At 41.6% G+C, this 20,764-nt stretch overlaps 1 protein-coding gene and 1 long non-coding RNA gene across 5 annotated transcripts in view; both read right to left on the bottom strand.

Annotated features, from left to right (window-relative positions):
- Positions 1–1,821: 1,821 nt before the first annotated feature.
- LOC124909436 (uncharacterized) lies at positions 1,822–9,339 on the bottom strand. Its single transcript, XR_007096094.1, has 2 exons — positions 4,700–9,339; positions 1,822–3,506 (listed from the first exon to the last, which is right to left on the bottom strand). It is a non-coding gene; the product is annotated as an uncharacterized LOC124909436 (long non-coding RNA).
- The window catches only part of DNAJC13 (DnaJ heat shock protein family (Hsp40) member C13), a 121,531-nt gene continuing 117,212 nt past the window's right edge, over positions 16,446–20,764 (bottom strand). For all 4 annotated transcript variants that reach the window (NM_001329126.2, NM_015268.4, XM_047447819.1 and 1 more), the window contains one exon: positions 16,446–17,302. In NM_001329126.2, the coding sequence (NP_001316055.1) occupies positions 17,196–17,302 (107 nt within the window). In that variant the 3' untranslated portion in view covers positions 16,446–17,195. The remainder of the gene's footprint in view (positions 17,303–20,764) is intronic.

The raw sequence follows: 20,764 nt of genomic DNA, 5'->3' as shown, positions 1-20,764 counted from the left end.
CACCTCTTTCTCATTGTGGTGATTATGAGTTTATTGTGAAGAAAACCCACGCCCATTCTAGTGTGAGAGTGTAGTTAGCATAAGCTCTGTGAAACAAGGGTTTCTCTCTGCCTTACCTTCACCCCCAAATTATGTGGCCAAGTAAAGTGTAACAGTTTATCCTGGAGAGGTGCATCACTCCTAGGACACCCTAAATAAGTACAGGTGAAATGGAGAGCAGTTGCTTGGATAGGATCTCCAGAAGGTATTTTCCCCAGTCTTCCTTCATCTGATGGCTAATCACCTCGATGAGGAGCCTTTTGTCTCATTTTCTTAAGTGGGTGCAGACACCCCCTCCCTCCAGCACCCTTACCTCTCTGACTTCAGTTTCTACTGCTCTGTTTCCTTACTCTCTCCACACAACACATTGGCCTTCTGCTGTTCCTCCAGTATCCCAGATATATTCCTACTTCAGGGTCTTTGCACTTGCCTTTCTGTTTGCCTAGAAAACTCTCCCCCCACTGCATGTCCTCAAGGCTTGCTCCTTTCCTGCAAATGTAACCTCCCAGGGATTCCTTCTGTAACCATCCCATCTAAATTTCTATACCCTCCCAACACACACACACAACGCTCTTTTTCCCTGCTTTGGTTTTCTTCTTAGAACTTTTCATCGTGTGACATACTATGTATTTTTCTCTTTTCTTTTGCATATTATCTCTTCCTCTCCCCCTGCTAGAAAGTATGTTTTAGCAGAGAAGGGTTCTTGTCTGTTTTGCTCGCTGCCGCATCCCTAGAAGCTGGAGCAATGCCCGGAGCATGCACAATAGGTCCTCAATAAATATTTGTTGAATGCGTGAATGCATGCCAGCTGCAGAAGGGCAGGGAACGCAGGATGTTTGATTAACCTCCATGTGAGAAGTGTAGTAGCATAGGCTCATGTTCCCTCACTTGCCATGCAGACACTTAAAAAGAAAACTTAGGGCCGGGTGCGGTGGCTCATGCCTGTAATCCCAGCACTATGGGAGGCCAAAGTGGGTGGATCACCTGAGGTCAGGAGTTTGAGACCAGCCTAGCCAACATGGCGAAACCCCCGTCTCTACTAAAAATACAAAAATTAGCCGGTGTAGTGGCGGGCGCCTGTAGTCCCAGCTACTCAGGAGACTGAGGCAGGAGAATCACTTGAACCCAGGAGGCAGAGGTTGCAGTGAGCCGAGATTGCGTCACTGCACTCTAGCCTGGGTGACAGAGTGAGACTGTCTCAAAAAAAACAAAAAACAAAAAACTTAAAGCAGTGGTTCTTACCCTGGCTGAGCATCAGAATCACCTGAGCAGCTTGCTATAGCTACAGCTGCCTCAGCCCCAGCCCTGGTGATTATTTAGTAATAACGAGGTTCACCTGGGATTCTAGTGAATTGATGGTCAGGGAAGAGAGAGCCTCGCTTCCTGACAAGTCTTGATTATGTCAGCGTTCTTGGCTGCAAACACTAGGAAAAGACTGGCTAATGTGAGCAAAAAGAAATCTGTTGCATTAGTGTGGGAAGGGAAGACTACGGAATTCTGGAATATCCCGCCAAGACACAGGCAGAGAAGGAAGCAGGTCTTTGCAGCTGGGACCAGAGCAGCCTGACCTGGCCGATGAGAGAGACACCCCTGCATTGGTGATCTCCATCTGACCTTGTCCACCAGATCTCTCTGCCCTTGCCTTGCTTTGGCTCTGAGGTGCACATGGTTGACAAAGCTCAGTCTGCAGGCCTGCCCTCTGTGCTGTGCAGGAAGAGGAGAGTGCTTCCAGTGCTACCAATAGAAATATAAGGTATGTATGTAATTTAAAATTTTACAGTGTCACATTAAAAACACATGAAATTAATTTTATTTAACCTAATATATCCAAATATTATCATTTCTACATGTAATCAATATAGGAAAAATTATCAGTAAGCTATTTTACACTTTTTCCCCAAAATCCCAATATATTTTATAGCACATTTCAACTTGGAAGCTAAAGTTTCAGTGGAAATACTTGATCTTCCAAAAGTTAACTGTATATAAGTAAGCTTCATAAAATGTACAGTTAAAAAAGTAGGTTCACATGCCCAACTTGTTCTAAACATACTTCACAGTTTTCAAAAAACTAAACTCAGTTTTTAAATTTAATTCATTTAAAGTTAAATGAAAAATTCAGGGCCAGGTGCAGTGGCTCACGCCTATAATCCCGGCACTTTGGGAGGCCGAGGTGGGCGGATCACCTGAGCCTAGGAATTTGAGACCAGCCTGGGCAACATGGCCAAACCCCATCTCTACAAAAAATACAAAAATTAGCCGGGTGTGGTTGTGCACGCCTATAGTCCCAGCTACTCAGGAGGCTGCAGTGGGAGCATCACCTGAGCCCAGGCGGCAGAGGTTGCAGTGAGCTGAGATAGTGCCACTGCACTCTGGCCTGGGTGACAGAGCCAGACTTTTTCTCAAAATAAATAATTTTTTTAAAAAAATTCAATCACATTAGCCCGATTTCAGTGCTCAGTAGTCATGTGTGGCTAGTGGCTACTGTATTGGGCCACTCAGCTGTAGCCCCTTGGTCCTCACAGTTTCAGAGGTCACCCTCTCACCAAACTCACACTCAGTGGGGAGAAAAAGACTTGGGACATTATTAGAAATAGAGATGGATGCTGAGCAGCCCCAAACAATTGTCCACTATGATAATTAAGGGAGCATAGTGTGAACCCCAAATACCTGAGACAAGTCTCAGTCAATTTAGAAAGTTTTGTTTTGTTTTGTCTTTTGCCAAGGTTAAGGACATGCCTGTGACACAGCCTCGGGAGGTCCTGACGACATGTGCCCAAGGTGGTTGGGGCACAGTTTGGTTTTATACATTTTAGGGGGACATGAGATATCAATCAATATATGTAAGATGTACATTGGTTCAGTCCGGAAAGGTGGGACAACTTGAAGCGGGGAGGGGGCTTCCAGGTTATAAATAGATAAGAAACAAATGGTTGCGTTCTTTTGAGTTTCTGGTTAGCCTTTCCAAAGTAAGCAATCAGATATGCACTTATCTCAATGAGCAGAGGGAAGACTTTGAATTCTGTCTGTCCTTTGTCCACAAGGAATTTTCCTGTGGACAAATTGTGAGGGAGGTACATAGCTTTTTTGTCTTAGTAGCTATCTTTTTAAGGAATAGAATGGGAAGCAGGTTTGCACTAAGCAAAAGTCTCAGCTTGACTTTCCCTTTTGGCTTAGTGATTTGGGGGTCCCAAAATTTATTTTCCATTCACAATAGTGATTTTATATATCTTGTTTGGTGAAGGAAAAAGTTGACTGTAGTCCATCTCCTGTATTTAAGGAAAGAAAAAACCTAGCATGAAAAGGAATTGCTAAGTGTTTCTAGTTTACCAACAATCCTGTGATATTGTAATCCCAGCTACTCGGGAGGCTGAGGCAGGAGAATCGTTTGAACCCAGGAGGCGGAGGTTGCAGTGAGCCAAGATCGTGCCACTGCACTCCAGCCCGGCAACAGAGTGAGACTCCATCTAAAAATAAATAAATAAATAAAAATGAAGATAATCTGAGGGAAAATTGTTATTTGTGCAGGCTGGTTAGGTTTTCTGACTGCCAAAAAAGGTTGGCTCCAATATATAGCAATACATAGGAATTGAAGTGTATGTGAACTCAAATCTCTTAAGATTACACAGTTGATTTATGAGCCAAAGACTCTTCCCAGCTCAGTGGGATTCAGAATGATCTTGTTGTGAGAAATGGAGAAAACATTTTTTATAAAATTCAAAACTGGACTGGGCACAATGGCTCACAGCTGTAATCCCAGCACTTCAGGAGGCTGACACAGGCAGATCGCTTGAGCCCAAGAGTTCAAGACCAGCCTGTGCAACATGGTGAAACCCCGTAGCTGTTAAAAACACAAAAAATTAGCCAGTTGTGGTGACACATGCCTGTAGTCCCACCTACTCAGGAGGCTGTGGTGGGAGGATCACCTGAGCCTTGGAAGTCGAGGCTGCAGTGAGCCACATGTGATCACATCACTGCACTCCAGCCTGGGCAAAAAGAGTGAGATCCTGTCTCCAAAAAAAAGAAAAAATTCAAAATGGTAATCATTATTCTTTCCCAAGCTACCCTCTGGAAAATTGTTCAGAATACGCTTTTTGGCTTTGGGGGAAATGGTCCTGAAAGGGCTTACTTGCTGCATTTCATTCAGTTTAGACCATCATAATCCCCATCTCTGTCCACAAAATGCCAAACAAACTTTCTATTATTAAGGAACTCAGCCATGATGTAAGGATGGAGGGATAGCCCGCTCATCAGATGTGGATGGCCCCTGTGTGGAAGAGTAACCTCCCCTTCTTGAGAGGAGCAAATGAGCTCCTTTCACAGCCTGCTCTCACATGTGGTCATGGCTGCTGGTTCTCAGGCTGATCAACACAGATCTGTTGACCTTGGCAGTTTACCTCCTCCACTGGTTGAAGTCAGATTCTAAATTCTAAATCCAGTAGAAACCTTTCTGCAAGAGGTCTTCTTCCAGCCCTCTAAGACAGCTGGACTAATTTAATCTTAAAGGAATAAATAATTTAGTGGGCAAATCCATAATATGTTGTGATCTTCACATGCTAAGGGAATTTTCTTTATTCTATTTTTAACTTTCCTTTTGCTGGCAAAGTTTGAGACAAACAACATCTAGAAGATAAGAAATGAGGAAGAAACAGCCACTCACAGTGTAATATTTTCCCAGATGTGGAGCACGTAGGCTGAGGGGCTTAAAATACTTCCTTCCTGTTCAGTGGTGTCTTTGCTCTCCAAACACTTCAGAGTGTATCAAATCAATAGGATTTCTTATTTATATCTAGTCGAAGCAACACAACACTAGATCAATTTGACTTGAAAGAACACCAGATTAATTTCAGAGGAGACAGAGAACACATGCAATTCTGAACAATTCAAGGAGTCCTTACAGATGCCTGTGGAGGATGCACAGGTGACAAGGTCCCTAGTGTCCTTGTCCTAAGGAGCAGATAGTTCATTCAACTGACAACTTACTTAATCTAATAACCCCACCCTTTCCTACTAGATAGGGCAGGATTTTTGTCAACCACAAAACCTTGAGAAAATAAGCTGGTTTTTACATAGAAAACAAAAGAGAAACACTGGCAAATTCTGTTTTATTTAAGAGCCATTGCCACTGAGGACAGTGTGCATGATGAGTCTGAAGCAACTTCAACAAAAGAGCCTAGAAGCAAGAAGTAGGAAAATACAATAGGTGGCATTTCTCTTTATTTGGGAACTCCAGTCCCACAGCCCCAAATGGCTGAGAAGCTGGCCTTCTGGAAATATTTTGAGGTCAGGGAAGACTGGCCTGAAACTGAAATTACTCATCATAATTTTGGAAACTAGCCCACACAGTACAGACTCAGACACAACCTGTGGCTTTCTTAATGTCAATTGGTAAAGGTTACTGTTTCCTGTTATGGAGAGATGATGCCAGACAAAGAAGGGGCCAGATCACAAAGGGCCTCACAATCCAAGATGAGGCATTGGACTTGGTCCTAAGAGCAGTGGAATCACTGATGGGCAGTAGAAATACTACTCCATGAAGAAGGGGTTGGATTCAGCCTATATCAGAAGCAGGAAGACCAGTCAGGATCCTGTTGCATTGACCCATGGAAGACATGTTAGAGGCCCACATGACAGTAGGTGTACCAGACATAGATTGTTAGAGATATTGAAGATGTAGAAGTAATAGAATACAGTAAATTAGAAGTAGTGTGGTAAGAGAGATGTGAGAGTCAAGTACAATGCTCATAGCACTGGCATGGCAATAGTGCATAATTTTTCTCGGCCCCTTCATTGAACTTGTGACAAGGGTGAACGTTTACTCCACTCACCATGCTCAACCCCTTGCAGGAAGGATCATGTGAGTGAGCAAGTGCAGGATCTGACTGGCCACTCCGGGCGCTGACCTAGGAACAAGCTCTAGGTGGGGCCTACAGCCAGACCAGGTGCAAGTGAGTGAGTGCAGGACCCAGCTGGTCACTCCAGACACCAGCGGGAGAAAGCTCCGTGCAGCGGTGCCCAGGTTGTAGGGGGCTGCCTGCGACCTTGAGGCCCCAGAGTGGGTATAACAATGCTCCTTTAGTTCTGCTGTCCATGGACGGCTGTGTATTAACAGCTCAGTTGGCCCCTTGCCTCCTTGCATGGGGTGGCTGCCCTCCACCGGCAAGGGCAAAGTTGACTCTAGTCCATCTCATGTATTAAACAAAAAAAATAAAATTCAAACCTAGCATGAAAAGGAATTGCTAAGAGCTTCTAGTTTACCAAAGATCCTGTAATACAGATATTGCTAAAGATCATTTGAAGGAAAATTGGTATTTGTGCAAGGTGTTTAGGTTTTCTGACTGCCAAAAAAGGTTGTCTCCAATGCATAGCAATACATAGGAATTGAAGTGTGTGTGAATTCAAATCTCTTGAGATTACATAGTTGATTTATGAGCCAAAGACTCTTCCCAATTCAGTGGGATTCAGAATGAACTTGTCATGGGAAATGGAGAAAACATTTTTTATAAAATTCAAAACCGGGCTGGGTGCAGTGGCTCACACCTGTAATCCCAGCACTTTAGGAGGCTGAGGCAGGCAGATTGCTTGAGCCCAGGAGTTCAAGACCAGCCTGGACAACATGGTGAAACCCTATATCTACTAAAAATATAAAAAATTAGCCAGTTGTGGTGGCACATGCCTGTAGTCCCAGCTACTCAGGAGGCTGCAGTGGGAGGATCACCTGAGCCTGGGAAGTCAAGGCTGCAGTGAGCTGTGATCACGTCACTGCACTCCAGCCTAGGTGACAGGAGTGAGATCCTGTCTCAAAAAAAAAAAAAAAATCAAACTGGTAATCATTATTCTTTCCCAAGCTACCCTCTGGAAAATTGTTCATAATAAGGTTTTTGGCTTCAGGGGAAATGGTCCCGGAAGGGCTTACTTGCTGCATTTCATTCAGTTTAGACCATTGTAACTCCCATCTCTGTCCACAAAAAGGCCAAACGAACTTTCTGCTGTTAAGGAACTCAGCCATGACGTAAGGCTGGAGGGATGGCCTGCTCATCAGATGTGGATGGTCCCTGTGCGGAAAAGTAAGCTCCCCTTCCCCCAGAGGAGCAAATGAGCTCCTTTCACAGCCTGCTTACACATGTGGTCATGGCTGCTGGTTCTCAGGCTGATCAACATAAACCTGTTGACCTTGGCAGTCTACTTCCTCCATTGGTGTGACAGACTTTTTGTGGGTCCCTGCAGTTTGGTGGGTCCCAAGCTCTTGTCCAGTGTCCAAGAAGAATGAAGTTGCATGAACACTTGAAGGATGGTGAAGGCAGACAATTTTATTAAGAGAGATGGAAATGGCTCTCAGCAGAGAGGGGGAGCTGAAGAGGGGATGGGATGGGCAGGTAGTCTTCCCCTGAAATCCAGCATCTCTTCCCCAAAGTCTGGCCAGCTCTTCTCTGAAGTCAGGCTGTCTCTCTGATGTCAAGCTGCCTCACTGAAGTGAAGCCACCTCACTAAAATCAAGCCACCTCTCTCTCCTCTACCAACTGAGTCTGGGGTCTTTATAGGCACAGGATGGAGGTGAGGCAGGCCATAGGTAGTTTTGGAAAGGCAACATTCAATTGGTTAAAAAAAAATTGTTTCTGAATTTTTTTTTAACCAATTTAATGTTGCCTTTTTTTCTATTATATTTACCACACATTGTTTGCATTGCATGTACAAAAGCTGCTAATTTTTGTTTCGGTTTTACTGATTTTTAATTTCTCCTTAATTTTTTTTATAGTTTAGTTTTTATTTTTAATCAAAGATATATATTTCAGAGTTCAACCATCAAATTACTGTCCAAAGCTAGTTATGAAAATCATCAGTGGTTCTTCCTCTCACCATCCCAACATGCTAATTTCTCATTCCCATGAGCAACGACTTAAAAACATTTAGTATAGCTGGGCCCCTATAGCTCTGTCAGAGGCATCCCAACCAGAGTGACTCTATCTTGAATAAAGGCTGGATAAAGCAAGACCTGATGCATTATATTCCCAGGAAGTTAGGCACTCTTAATCACAAGATGTTTATGGTTGAGGAAACAAGTTAGTGGAAAAAGGCATTCTTAGTTTAAAAAATATGTTTTCCTCTAAAGATAATAGTACACTCATAAATTCTTGCCAAGATCAGAAGTTACACAAGAGAATAACCATACTAACAGCCTGTCACAAGCCTTTATAATAAACTGCACTATAGGCCTAATATTCCTATATAAGCAAGCATTCTTGTTTAAATCCATTTATACCTAATGTTCCATTATTGGAACGCTAAGCATGCGAGAGTTATTTATATCCTACTGCTCAAGGTCATCACCAAGGTCTGATTGCAAAAATTCAAAAAATTGCAACCTGAGGCATAAATGGGTTAAGGTAGGCGCATTCTTCGTCTTGCTTTCTGAGGACACCCTACTCTGTCACAGAGTAGTTTCTAATAAACTATTTTAACTTTACTATGTGACTGGCCCTGAATTCTTTCCCATGCGAGATCTGAGAACCCACTCTTGGGCCCTGGGACAAAACCCCTTTTCTGGTAACAGTCCCAGCTACTCTGGAGGCTGAGGTGGAAGAATTGCTTGAGCCTAGTCTGCATAACATAATGAGACCCCACCTCAAAATTAAATAAATAAACAAAACAATTTAAGCTAACTGATAAGCATGGAGATCTACTTCCATGTCTTGAAATAATACAGTTATAATACTCTCACCTCTCAATGGTTTATTTTACTTAAATCTTCAGTTAGAGGAAGAATATAGTGAACACCTGTATATCCTTATCTAGATTCACACTTGCTTTCTCTCTCCTGTTTCTGAACTGAGTTAGCTGCAGATAGTATGTCACCTAACAATAATGACACGAGAATTTGACCTTGATGAAACATTACTGTCATATGTAGTCTAGTCATCTATTGATTTCTCAGTTTAGAAGATGTGCTATGATTATTTTGTTGCCCAGCTATTCCAAACTCTTCTCCCAGATACATCAATTTCTTTTCTCTCAATATGTTCAAATACATATATTGCCTATCAATTTCATCTTCTTGAAGAATTTGTTCCCAGAGCCTCTAACCTGTTCAAGTCTGGATGGGTAGTTGTCTAAGTTAGCTGCAACCTGTTGTCTTAATTTGAAATGGCTTTTCAATATCATTTGAAGAATTCCACCATTCTTTTGAAGAAAACCAAAGTATTTCACCCCCAAATATACTTCTTTGACATACCCTGTAAAGTCTGTTTTTTTTTTTTTTTTTTCTTTTAGACCAATTCTTGCCTGTTGCCCAGGCTGGAGTAGAGTGGCATGATCATAGCTCAAACTGCAGCCTCAAACTGCAGGCTCAAGTGATCCTCCACCTCAGCTTCCCGAGTAGCTGGGACCACAGGTACACGTTAATAAATTTGTATGCTTTCTCTCCTATTCATCTGCCTTATGTCAGCTGATTTTCAGTGAACCTTCAGAGGGTGACAGGCAAGTTTACATCTTGGCCCCCACACTTTTTTGGGTACCCCCTGCTTTAGTACAGAACATCTTTCTGGAGCTTCTTACAAAAGAATTAATGGGAGGTAAATTTGAGACCTTGTCTTAATTCTGTCCCCTCAATCAGTAGTTTCACTGGATGTAGAACCCTGGGTTGAGATTTTTGAAGGCATCACTCCCTTGTTTTCTTTCAGTGTTATTGAGCAATCCAGTGCTATTCTTATTCTTGTTCCTTTCTAAGAAATGGTTCCCTCTTCTCCTGCCACACCCTGGAGGGTTATAGGATCTTTTTGTTTTCATATGGTAAAATTTCACAATTATGTGTATTTGTAAGGGTTGACTTTCATTTATTGGGCTGGCACTCGGTGGCGTTGGTGTTACTGGAAAGAGGTCCTGATCCAGACCCCAAGAGACGGTTCTTGGATCTCACACAAGAAATAATTCAGGATAAATCCATAAAGTGAAAGCTAGTTTATTAGAGAAGAAACAAAAGAATGGCTACTCCATAGACAGAGTAGCCCTGAGGGCTGCTGGTTGGCTATTTTTTTTTTTTTTTTTTTTTTGAGACGTAGTCTTGCTCTGTGGCCCAGGCTGGAGTGCAGTGGCATGATCTTGGCTCACTGCAACCTCTACCGCCCAGGTTCAAGTGATGCTCCTGCCTTAGCCTCCTGAGTAGCTGGGATTACAGGTGCACACCACCACGCCCAGCTACTTTTTGTTTGTATTTTTAGTAGAGACGGGGTTTTGCCATCTTGGCCAGGCTAGTCTTGAACTCCTGACCTTGTGATCCACCCACCTCTGCCTCCCAAAGTACTGGGATTACAGGAATGAGCCACCGTGCCTGGCCAGCTATTTTTATAGTTATTTCTTGATCATACGCTAAACAAGGGGTGGATTATTCGTGAGTTTTCCAGAAAATTCCCTTTTTAGACAATATAGGGTAACTTCTGGATGTTGCCATGGTATTTGTAAACTGTCATGGTGCTGGTGGGAATGATTTGCGATGCTAATATATTATAGTGTATAATGAGCAGTGAGGACCACCAGAGGTCACTTTCATTGCCATCTTGGTTTTGGTGGGTTTTGGCGGCTTCTTTACTACATCCTGTTTATTAGCAGGGTCTTTATGACCTGTATCTGTGATACCAGTCCTGTTGTCCTCCTGTCTTATCCTGTGCCTGAGAATGCCTAACCTCCCGGGGGTGCAGCCCAGCAGGTCTCAGCCTTATATTACCCAGCCCCTATTCAAGGTGGAGTCACTCTGGTTCAAACACCTCTGACATTGGGACTCATAAAACAAACCCCAGAATGAAGGTCTCAGAAGCAGCCTCAGAACCAGAAGTTTTTCTGACCTTCTCCTACCTTCCTGTCGCTCAGTTCCATTCTCTCCCAAGGCTAGCCACAGAAACTAGAATCTCTCTTCCCCAAGGTGGGTCAGAAACCAGAACCTCTTTTCCCCAAAGCCAGCCATAAAACCTAAAGTTATTACCCTTTCCCTCCACCTTTCTATGTAAAAACTGGCCACAAAGAAATGATCTGACTTACCTTGTTGGACTATAGCTCAGAGGACCCCTATTCCAGAGAAAGACCCGCCCCATACCCAGAAGGAAGGACTGCATGCTCGGATAGGCCAAGAAGAGTCTAAACAGACCTTGCTGGGTTTCCCCATGCAGTCCCTTAGCATTTGATCTTACCCTTTTGTCCAATCATAAACACAGCCAATCAAAGTATGGCTGTCAATATTTTGTTGAACCTAAGCATCAAAGTGAACAATTTCCCCAGGATCTTTGGGCTTTCATTCTGAAGGCTCCTGTGTATACTCATTAAATAAATTTGTATGCCTTTTCTCCAATTATTCTGCATTTTGCAAGTTGATTTTTCAGCAGACCTTTCAGAGGGTGAAGGAGAAGTTCCTTTGGCCTCTTCAGTGGCATAGTCTTCCTTACTGGGAAAGTGCTTGAATTTTTTATTTTGTTCTCAGCCCCTTTTCAAAACTAGTATTTCTTTTGGGATCTAAATTTTTTAGATAATGGGCTCCCTGAACTGGGTCTCTTTTGTCTACTTTTCCATCTTACTCTGCTTCTTCACAAGATTTCCTCAACTTTCTCTGTCAATGTCTTCTATTGTTTTTCTTCTATTTTTATTAAAAAATTTTTAAGACCTGATTTTCTGTGGAAAAAAATTTTTTTTCAAAGTGGCATCCTGTTTTGTAGATGCAATGCTTATCTCTGAGGGTATGGTTATACAGCTTTCTTTTCCAATGCTTTCTTCTTCCTAGTGTCCTCCAAAATTTCCTTTTTTTCTTCCTGTTTTGGCCTCTTTTCTGCTTCTACTGTCATACCTGGAGGCATACACCTGTCAGCATTCACACTAAGGGCTGCCTTCAAAGGCTCTCCACAATGCTCAGTTGCTTTAGGCAAGTCCCTGCCACTGGAAGGGTGTGCTATCATCCAGCTGTTGTATCAGTTGATAAAGTTTTCTGCTCCAAACTCTAGATTTGCTTACTCTGAATTCACCTTGATCATTTTAGGGCTGACAGGATTGTCCTCAGGTCAGCTCTTACCTTTAAAGCTGGGAAAAATGTTCCACTTCCTGCTTTGGAATGCTGGGAAACCTGATACATACATACGAAAGGCTATTTTGAGTTGTGTAAAATACTAAAATGTGAGATTGAGGTTTGAGCTTAAGTAAGTGAAATGACTTTCCTGAACTTATGCATAGCTAAATATTTGTAGAATTACTTCCATATGACCTTTCCTTTTGAAGACAAATGACTCATTCTTTCATTGACTCAAGCCACATCTTCGTAAACTTTTCCCTGAAGTAGAGACTGAGGGCATGAGGTTCCTCTTTTCCTGCTCACAGACATTGGTTAGGGGTCAGGGAATGAGGCCAATGTTCTTTGTAGACCTTAGGTTTTTTTTATCTACTGCCATTGGACAATAGCTGAAAACTCTTCATACATAACTGCATAACTTATAAACCATATTCCTTTTCAATGTTAAAAAATTTAAGCACGAACATTCTTATTTGTGTAAATAACAGAGTTTTCATGAACAGCTCTGGGTCTTTCTCTTCTCTTACAAAGTTATTTCCTTAAATTGGGGATTTGTAAAAATGATGGAAATGTACAGATCTTCTTTCATAAGCTTGATGGCAAAACAAACGTTTTAAACTGGCCACCCTATTTCCTGTATTCTTGGGGCCCTGGAACCCACAGTAACCTCACCCACCTTTTACTCCTTAAGTTTAGAAATTAGTGGTCAATAATCCAGATGTGAAGTTCTTTGCTTTAAATGCTAAATAACATATTAAACAACACATGTAGTAACAACTAGTAATGGGAAAGCATTGATGACAGGAGAAATGCCTGAAGTTTCCACTACAATAGAGGAGTTAAATAATTTATTTCACAAAAAATCATCTATGGGAAACAATAATTCTGGGAAGTGATCTAGTTCTGAGGTTTTTAACTGGGGCGAGAATGGGACTGAGTTTTCGGATATTTTTAAAATATGCGCTTTTGGGCATTTTTGCATAAAGGTTTTACACGTATTTCAACAGATTCTTAACATCTTACCAAAGTAAGATTTCCTGACCAGATCAGGCATTTTATAGATGAAATTAACGCCCAATGTCAGAAACCTAAGCAGGGCAGAATCTGCCTGACAAGCCAGTGTTCTTCCTTGACACAGCATCACCAAGCCCAGCTCCTCATTCCTAGACGCTCCTGTCTACAAGGTTGACACCCTATTAGGTGTTTACATCTATTATTCCTGATCTCCCGAACATCCCCACAAAGGAGACATTAATGACCCCCACTTATTGGTGACAGCTCCAAGGTCACTTGGTGGAGGCCAGAACCACAGCCCAGGTGGCCCCAACTCGGTCCATACCAGCTCCAAGATACCTTACTTCCATTCTCCTGCCCTAATTTAAACAGACTGGGTGACACAAGTTAATGAGTTAAACACTGAATTCAACCAAAATCCACACAAACATTTGGGGTTAATATGAGGATGGAATCAATATCTTGGGCATCCAGCAGTGATTCTGATTTAGAATCAACACCTTGGGCATCCAGGCGTGATTTCTGATATAACTTGGATACTCAAAACTTAACATGTACTCAAAAACAAACAAACAAAAAACTGGAAACACTCCCAGGAGCCAGGCAGTCACCTAGTTCTAACTTAGTGGGCATTCCAAGTTTTGGTGTGTGCTGTGGGCCAGCCTTAGGGGTCTGCCTCCCCAGCTTCAGGACAGGCTGTCAGTTGTTTCTGAAGGTGCTTGAGCTGAATTTATACCAAGTCCCATCAAGGCTGAGGTGGCTCTGGCTCTAACCAGCCCTTTGTCCTACCAATCTATGAGCAAACTCTCTTCTTGCTACTGGTGCTCCAGCGAACACTATGTATTAGTCTGCTTGGACTGTCATAACAAAATACCATAGACTGGTGGCTTAAACAACAAATTTATTTCTCACAGTTCTGGAGGCTGGGAAGTTTAAGATCAATGTGCCAGCAAGTTAGCTTTCATTCTGAGGCCTCTTCTCTTGGCTTGTACGTGGCTCCCAGTGTGCTTACGTGACCTCTTGGTGCAGAATGTCAGGTGTTGGGAAAGGAGGTAGTGGGGGAATTTGGGGGTACAGGTAGGCTCTCTGGTGTCTAAGGTATTATCCCCATTATGAGGGCACTACCTTCATGACCTCATCTAACACTAATTAATTACCTCCCTGAGGCCCCATCTCCAAATACCACTGGGGGTTAGGGTCTCACCCTATGAATTTTGGGGGAAGATACAACCATTTAGTCCCTAATGACTAACTTCCCCGAAGTCCTTGTCCTCCCCTCTCCCATCACAAAAGTGGCATGAGCACACATGTGACCATGCAACTACATATTGCAAAAGGAGTTCAGTCTTTTAAAAGAATACCTAATTAATAACTCATTGGACAGAAAGCACATACATCCAATTCCTCATAACCACTGGTTTTTATCTTATTGCAAGGGGAATGAATTTGATTTTTTTGGCCTTATAACACCCCTATTTAATTCTCATAACACCCCTTTGAGGAATGGGCTCAGAATGAACCTTATAGATAAGGAAACAAAGAAGTCTGCCTTCCTTGGTCACACTGCTACTGGCCAGTAAAAGGAGGGCCATGCCTTCCCAAAAACTCAAGGAGGCGGTGAAATTCCTAGTCAGAGTAGGTTGCAAGAAAGTTTATCTGCAACTTTTTTTTCACAGTGCTCTTCTCAAAATCCTAATAAAGCTTATTTACACGATATTCATCATATAATGAACAATTTAAGCATGAGAAGGATCACAGAAGTTCTAGACTGAAAGGGATTCTTGAGCTGAGCATCTGGTGATGATCCTCAGTGGACGGACGAGGGTCCGGCATGGTCTCTTGCCCATTTCCAGTGTTCTGCCTCTGCACTGCTCCTTAGATGGACTGTGGGTTACTAGAGTGTATCTCTGAGTTTTGCTACCTCTAAACAGCCCCTCTCCCAACAAACGCACCAAAGTGATCATTCCACACTGCTGTTTATTTTAAAATACAGATCTCATTCCTGAATCACTATTAGGTTTGATGTTAATGCGTCAGCTTGGCACTTAGGACACCGTCCAGCTGGCTCCTCCCTGGGTCTCAGGCTGGGTTCTCTCTGGACCCTTATCCCCCAGCCATACCAGACAACCCCCACCCCTCCAGGTGTCCTATATATACTTTCCTGTTACCCTGCTCAAGCTGTCTTTTATAACTCAGGACTGAGGCAAACGACTTCATGCTTAAATCTCAGATAAAGCCTCCACCCTCAAAGATCAAAACTCAGCTTTCCCCATCACAGACACTTGCCTGACATTGCTGTTGTCTTCATATTATGGCTCAGAATACAGACCTCAGTGTCACATAAGAGTTTTGATTTCTTACTCTGTTACTTACTAGTTGTGTGACTTTTAGTAAGCTGCTTTACTTATCTGAACCTCATGTTCTTCACCTGGAAGATGGGAATTATATCAGTACCAGGCCAACAGGTTTGCTCTGAGGATTAACTGGCCCACAGGTTCGTTCTGAGGATTAAATGAGATTATGCAATACTTAGCAGACAGTAAATATTCAATAAAGGTTAAGTATTGTTGGCATCTAAACATCAATGATCGTAGACTAATTTAACGGGCCTTTAACTATTGTATTCACAATACTTATATTCTTAGTATTTAAAAGAAAACATTGCTATGTTGATTTATGCTCTCCTAAATACCTAATCCCAATTTAGCTGTTATAATTTTTTAGTGAACACATTTTTATACCCAACTATTGTCTAGAAACTAAAACCCTAGTTACATATTAAAATACTTCCATTAACATATTACTCTATAATCTGTTAGAGATGATAAACTTGATGCAGAAGTTTGAATTAGTGATTTGGAATAGGAGTAAGTTTCCATTTTGGCTGTTCTTACACATCAACTGTGGAATAAACTTGGTTCTTGCTTTGAAAGGAAACTTGGAAGTGTGGGTATTTCCCCATTCTTTAAGAACTGTTTGTTTATATTCTCCATGTTTATATTTTCTTGTAGTTTGTGGTCACACTAGAAAATCTATGTGCTGAGATTTGTTACTTGAAAAATCTTCTGGCTATTTAATTTTCTCTTCTTAAAAATAGTAGAATTAATGTCACATATTATTAACAGCCTGACCCATTCCTGAATGTTGTATGAAAAATAAATGAGATGCTGTGTCTGGAAACTTAGATGTGGCTGAAATATTAAAGTTAGGAATGATTAGATTATGTTAATGCAGCCATCTATATGAAGAGTTACGAATGTAAGATAACGTCTGTTTAATACTACATCTGTCTTAGAAATAAAGATAGATATATGAGGTCTTCAAACGGAAAGATTAAACTAGAACAAATATATCTCATTAACAAAGCAGTCAATTCCCTTTATTTTTAAAATTTTATGTACACATATGAATGATCTGTATAATGTACATTCAATATAGAAAGCTTTATATATTTGATAGTGTATAGAACATTTCACAATTACACTCATCTTTTACATAACATCTTGACATCCATTTTTAAATTTTTTTGCACAAGCTCCTTTTCATTCAATTTGGTAAAGCCAGTTATACATACTAATGTGTACTGTGAGCTTTCAGAAGGTTAATGATTGAGGATGCCAGTGAAGGGTGCAGGGACAAAACCTAATAGTCTTGGATGGTGGGGGGAGGATGGCCACGCAGACTTGATGCAGGAGAGGGAAATATTCTTTCCTGGGGAAAAGTGACTTAGCCCAATTTTTGTTGACTGTAGCTCAACCCTACAGTCATGCTAGTTCAAAAAAAAAATTACAAAAACTAGGAAGAAAGTTTTGTCTTTTTGATTCACAGTTTTGTAAACAGATATAAAGGAACAAATGTGCTTACATACACCAAGAAAAAAAAAATTCTTGTGTACCCACTTATGTTGATCCACAGAGTGCTTTCTTATAATGTGATACAATTAGGATCACTGACTTTTTTTCCTAAAAATATATTTATAGAAAAAGGAATAACACTGTCATGAAACCAGGAGAAAGGCAGTAAGAGTTTGCTTCAACGTATCAGCTGGAGGAATGTGGACTTGGCACTGGCCTTTCAGCGTTTATTGTCTCTCGTGAATATTTCAAGTCTGATAGCCAAGGTCGCCTGCCTCATGGTCTACAGGAGGTGGCAGGTTAGACATGACTGATGTAGATGTACCTGCGGTAAGGTAGCCAGCAACTCCAGGTCCTGCAAGAGAGAAAGGTAAACACACACCTCTAGAAAGCAGTCAAGTGAAAACATTGACCTTTATAAAAATGTCAGAACCTGCTCAGGCACTCCATCACACAAAACTAATCATCTATTTCAATTACCTAAATTACATCTATACCTTAATAAACAGCTACATAGTACTATTTTCATGTTTGCCTACACTATAGACTAGAAATCATTTCAAAATGTATGCTGGACAGTAACACTGGTGTGGAAATATGGATAAAATTTTCTTTCTTACATTTGGGAAATTCAATCTTTCAAAAAATTCCGAGCACTGAAAAGAACTATGTCGAATGGAAAAAATGGAAACAGACAGACAAAAGAAACTCTACACTCAGCTCATCCAAAAGTCATATGTGACAAAATTCAACATAAACACTTCTGTCAACACTCAAACTAACCTATTTTCATTTGGTGCAAAGAAATGCTATTATAACAAGTAACACCAAACGAACAAGGGTTGCTAAACCAAGGACTCTGAAAAAGAAAAGGCTCTGGACATCCATCTGTCATAGGTTAAAACAAGAATGCTATGTGAAAGGGTACTGATATTTTAGTCTTATATTTCTCCCTTGATTCTAACAGTTTCTATTGCATGAAAATGCCATATATGCCAGCATTTATCGAGATGTGTCCTATGGGCATATTAATGGCTTTAGCCCTCTAGAGTTTATTTTAAACATTGCATAAACATTTAATTACATCTCAGAAGCACTGCACAAACTAACAAGTACTTGCAAGGGACACTGTAGCATAATACTGCATACTGAGCAATAGTTTTAGCTGAAATTGTAGGAAACAAGGCAAACAACTAAGGAACATTGAGGGTTAGGACTAGAAAGGCAGTGGGAGCGGCATGCATTTAGCAAAACATTTCTCTACCTGCTTCAGAGAGCTACACAGAAGTTAGCAAGCTGCCTGGCAGAGCGGATCTAAAGCCCGCTCCTGAGGTGAAGGGGGCTGCTGCCAGTTAGAAGGGAAGGAGAGACACCTGAGGGGAAAAAAGAAATATAAGCAGCAAGGGAAGTTGTGAGGAAGTGCAAACAGCAGAGTAGTTTGATGAAGGTAGAAACAGGGATTGGTGGAGGACAAAAAGGCCACCATTCAGATTCATCTTGTTTTTGACCTTAAAAGTATTGGTACTATGGATGTGAAATGGCTTGTATAGATACATAGGCAGAGATGACTCAGCCTGTGTGAGCTGTAACTGAAGCCAACCAGAGTGCCCAGGTACTTGGAACGCTGTACTTATAAAAACCTTGTACTTGTAGAACTTACAAAAAATATTTCTCCTTTTTAAGGTACTGTGGGAGCCTGCATCTATCAACTCCTGCCTTGAGCCAATCAGGATGCCAGGCCTTTCACAGTCTGCTCAGGAAAAAGGCCACCAGGTCAACAAACCCTTCTGACAACGCAGTTCAGAGCTACAGCAGCACCCTGTGATCATTTCCCACCACCCTCATATTCTCTGAACTTTAGGCTGCAGCATGATTACTGCAAAACCATCCAGTAGGTGTCATCAAAGATGTAACCCTTAACAGTAAGACCTCAAACACTCCAGACTGTGTAGTTTCTGAGCAATTCTGATTGTGGGCTCAACTTGGTTCCCATCAAAATAGTAGGTTACAAGACCAAACCATGAATGCTGCATCTAGAAAGTGGATTAATGACGCAGTTCTCAAACTGTGTGCTGAGGCACCCTGGGGCATTGCTGGATATTTATTTATTCCCTTTGCCCCTCTGTGTGTGTGTGTATTTAACAGATGGGGGTCTCACTATGTTGCCTTGAACTCCTGGGCTCAAGCAACTCCCCTATCCAGGCCTTGAACTCCTAGGCTCAAGTGATCTTCCCACCCCAGCCTACTGAGTAGCGGATTCGGCCTGTCCATGTGGACTACAGTTGCCTGCCACATCATCCAGCTAACTGCTGGGTATTTTAAATTTGAAACACAGCGCCATCTGCTGACCACCATACAAACAACTACTTTCAAGTTGTCTTGCAATTACTTCATAAACTAAATTATTAGGTATTTCTTTTGGCTTGGGGACGGATGAAAAAATTACTGAGCTATTAAGGGCACTGTGAACTGAGAAAATGTGGGAACCTCTGAGCTAAAATCTAAATGGTGAAATGATGGGCTTAGAAGGAAGAAACCAAATTTTAGTACCATCATTTGCCTCTTTAGGAAAGGCAAATCAAAATCAATTCCCGGATAGTTCTACAAATGAAATCCGAGATGCTCTCCCCAGGACCCTGGCCTCTCCTTGAGGATGTGTCTGGTTTCTTGGGGCTAAAAGGTGCTGCCTGGTCATTTGCACAGAATAGGGCAGTTGTGTTCTTCAGAGAAAGATGGGAAGAGCAGGGGCTGCCAGGAATGGGCATGTGGCAAGATTGCACAAGGCTGCTGGACTTCAGAGAAATGAGAAAAGATGGAAAATTTACAGAGAATCCCACAAAACTGAATTGGCTACCACGATGAAATGTATATGTGAAAAGTTCATCTCCAATTCTGGCTCCTAGAAGCATCTTCACCCTGGCCTCTGTTCCTTTTCCTGTTGTTCCTTCTTTTGCTACTGATTTTCTAGGTTAGGTAATTTGAGGATTTTCACTGCTGAAATTATTTTTTATGAGGCTCTGAGACCATCAGCACCAAGCTGTTCTAGAACCTAATAAATGGCTAAGTGATCAAGGGCCCTGGATAATGAGTAACCACAATTTATCTGCATCACAGGAAAAATTCCACTGAGGCACCTTTAAATAAGCATTTATCATAAAACAAAATATGCCAGGCTAGAGAACCTATGGAAATAGGCAGTCTCATTTAAATTTATCAAGATTGAGTAATCCTACCTAGGACTTTAAAATTTTTACCCCAAATCTTGGGCATGTGACTGAATGACATTTACTCAGCAGCCAGAGAGAAGAAAACGTAGTTTTGGTCATTTTTATCTTACTTTGAAGTAGTAATTAACTCCTTTGTCTTTCCCCATGTCCTAAACAAAATCCACCTAACCTGCCAAACTCACCTAAAGATATCAGTTAGAAGAAAGGGTTGGTGATGTGTGTTGTCACAGCAACCTTGATTTCAATGATTACAGAGGGGCTGGGTACAATCTGTATCTTCTGAAGTTTGGGAGTAGCACGGGGCACATTTTAACTAAATGAAATTCCAATTCAACACAACACTATAAATTCCTGGAGTTCCACATCATGGGATTTTATCATTATTAGAACTACATGCCCCTTTTATCAAACACATGATACACAATACATCAATGAAAAGCTCAAACACAAAAAACATTTGGCAACTCAAGCAATGAGCACACATCAATCCAACTGGCAGTAAATTTACCTAATTTATCTCTTAATTTGCCTACATCATCTGTAGTTAGAGGATGTAGGGCTGACATCTTATATACTACAATTTCAGGCAG

This window comes from Homo sapiens, chromosome 3 (assembly GCF_000001405.40).
Source record: "Homo sapiens chromosome 3, GRCh38.p14 Primary Assembly".
In the NCBI taxonomy this organism is placed as follows: Eukaryota; Metazoa; Chordata; class Mammalia; order Primates; family Hominidae; genus Homo; species Homo sapiens.
Note: the sequence above shows the minus strand (reverse complement) of the source record. Positions and strands in the feature narration are given on the sequence as shown.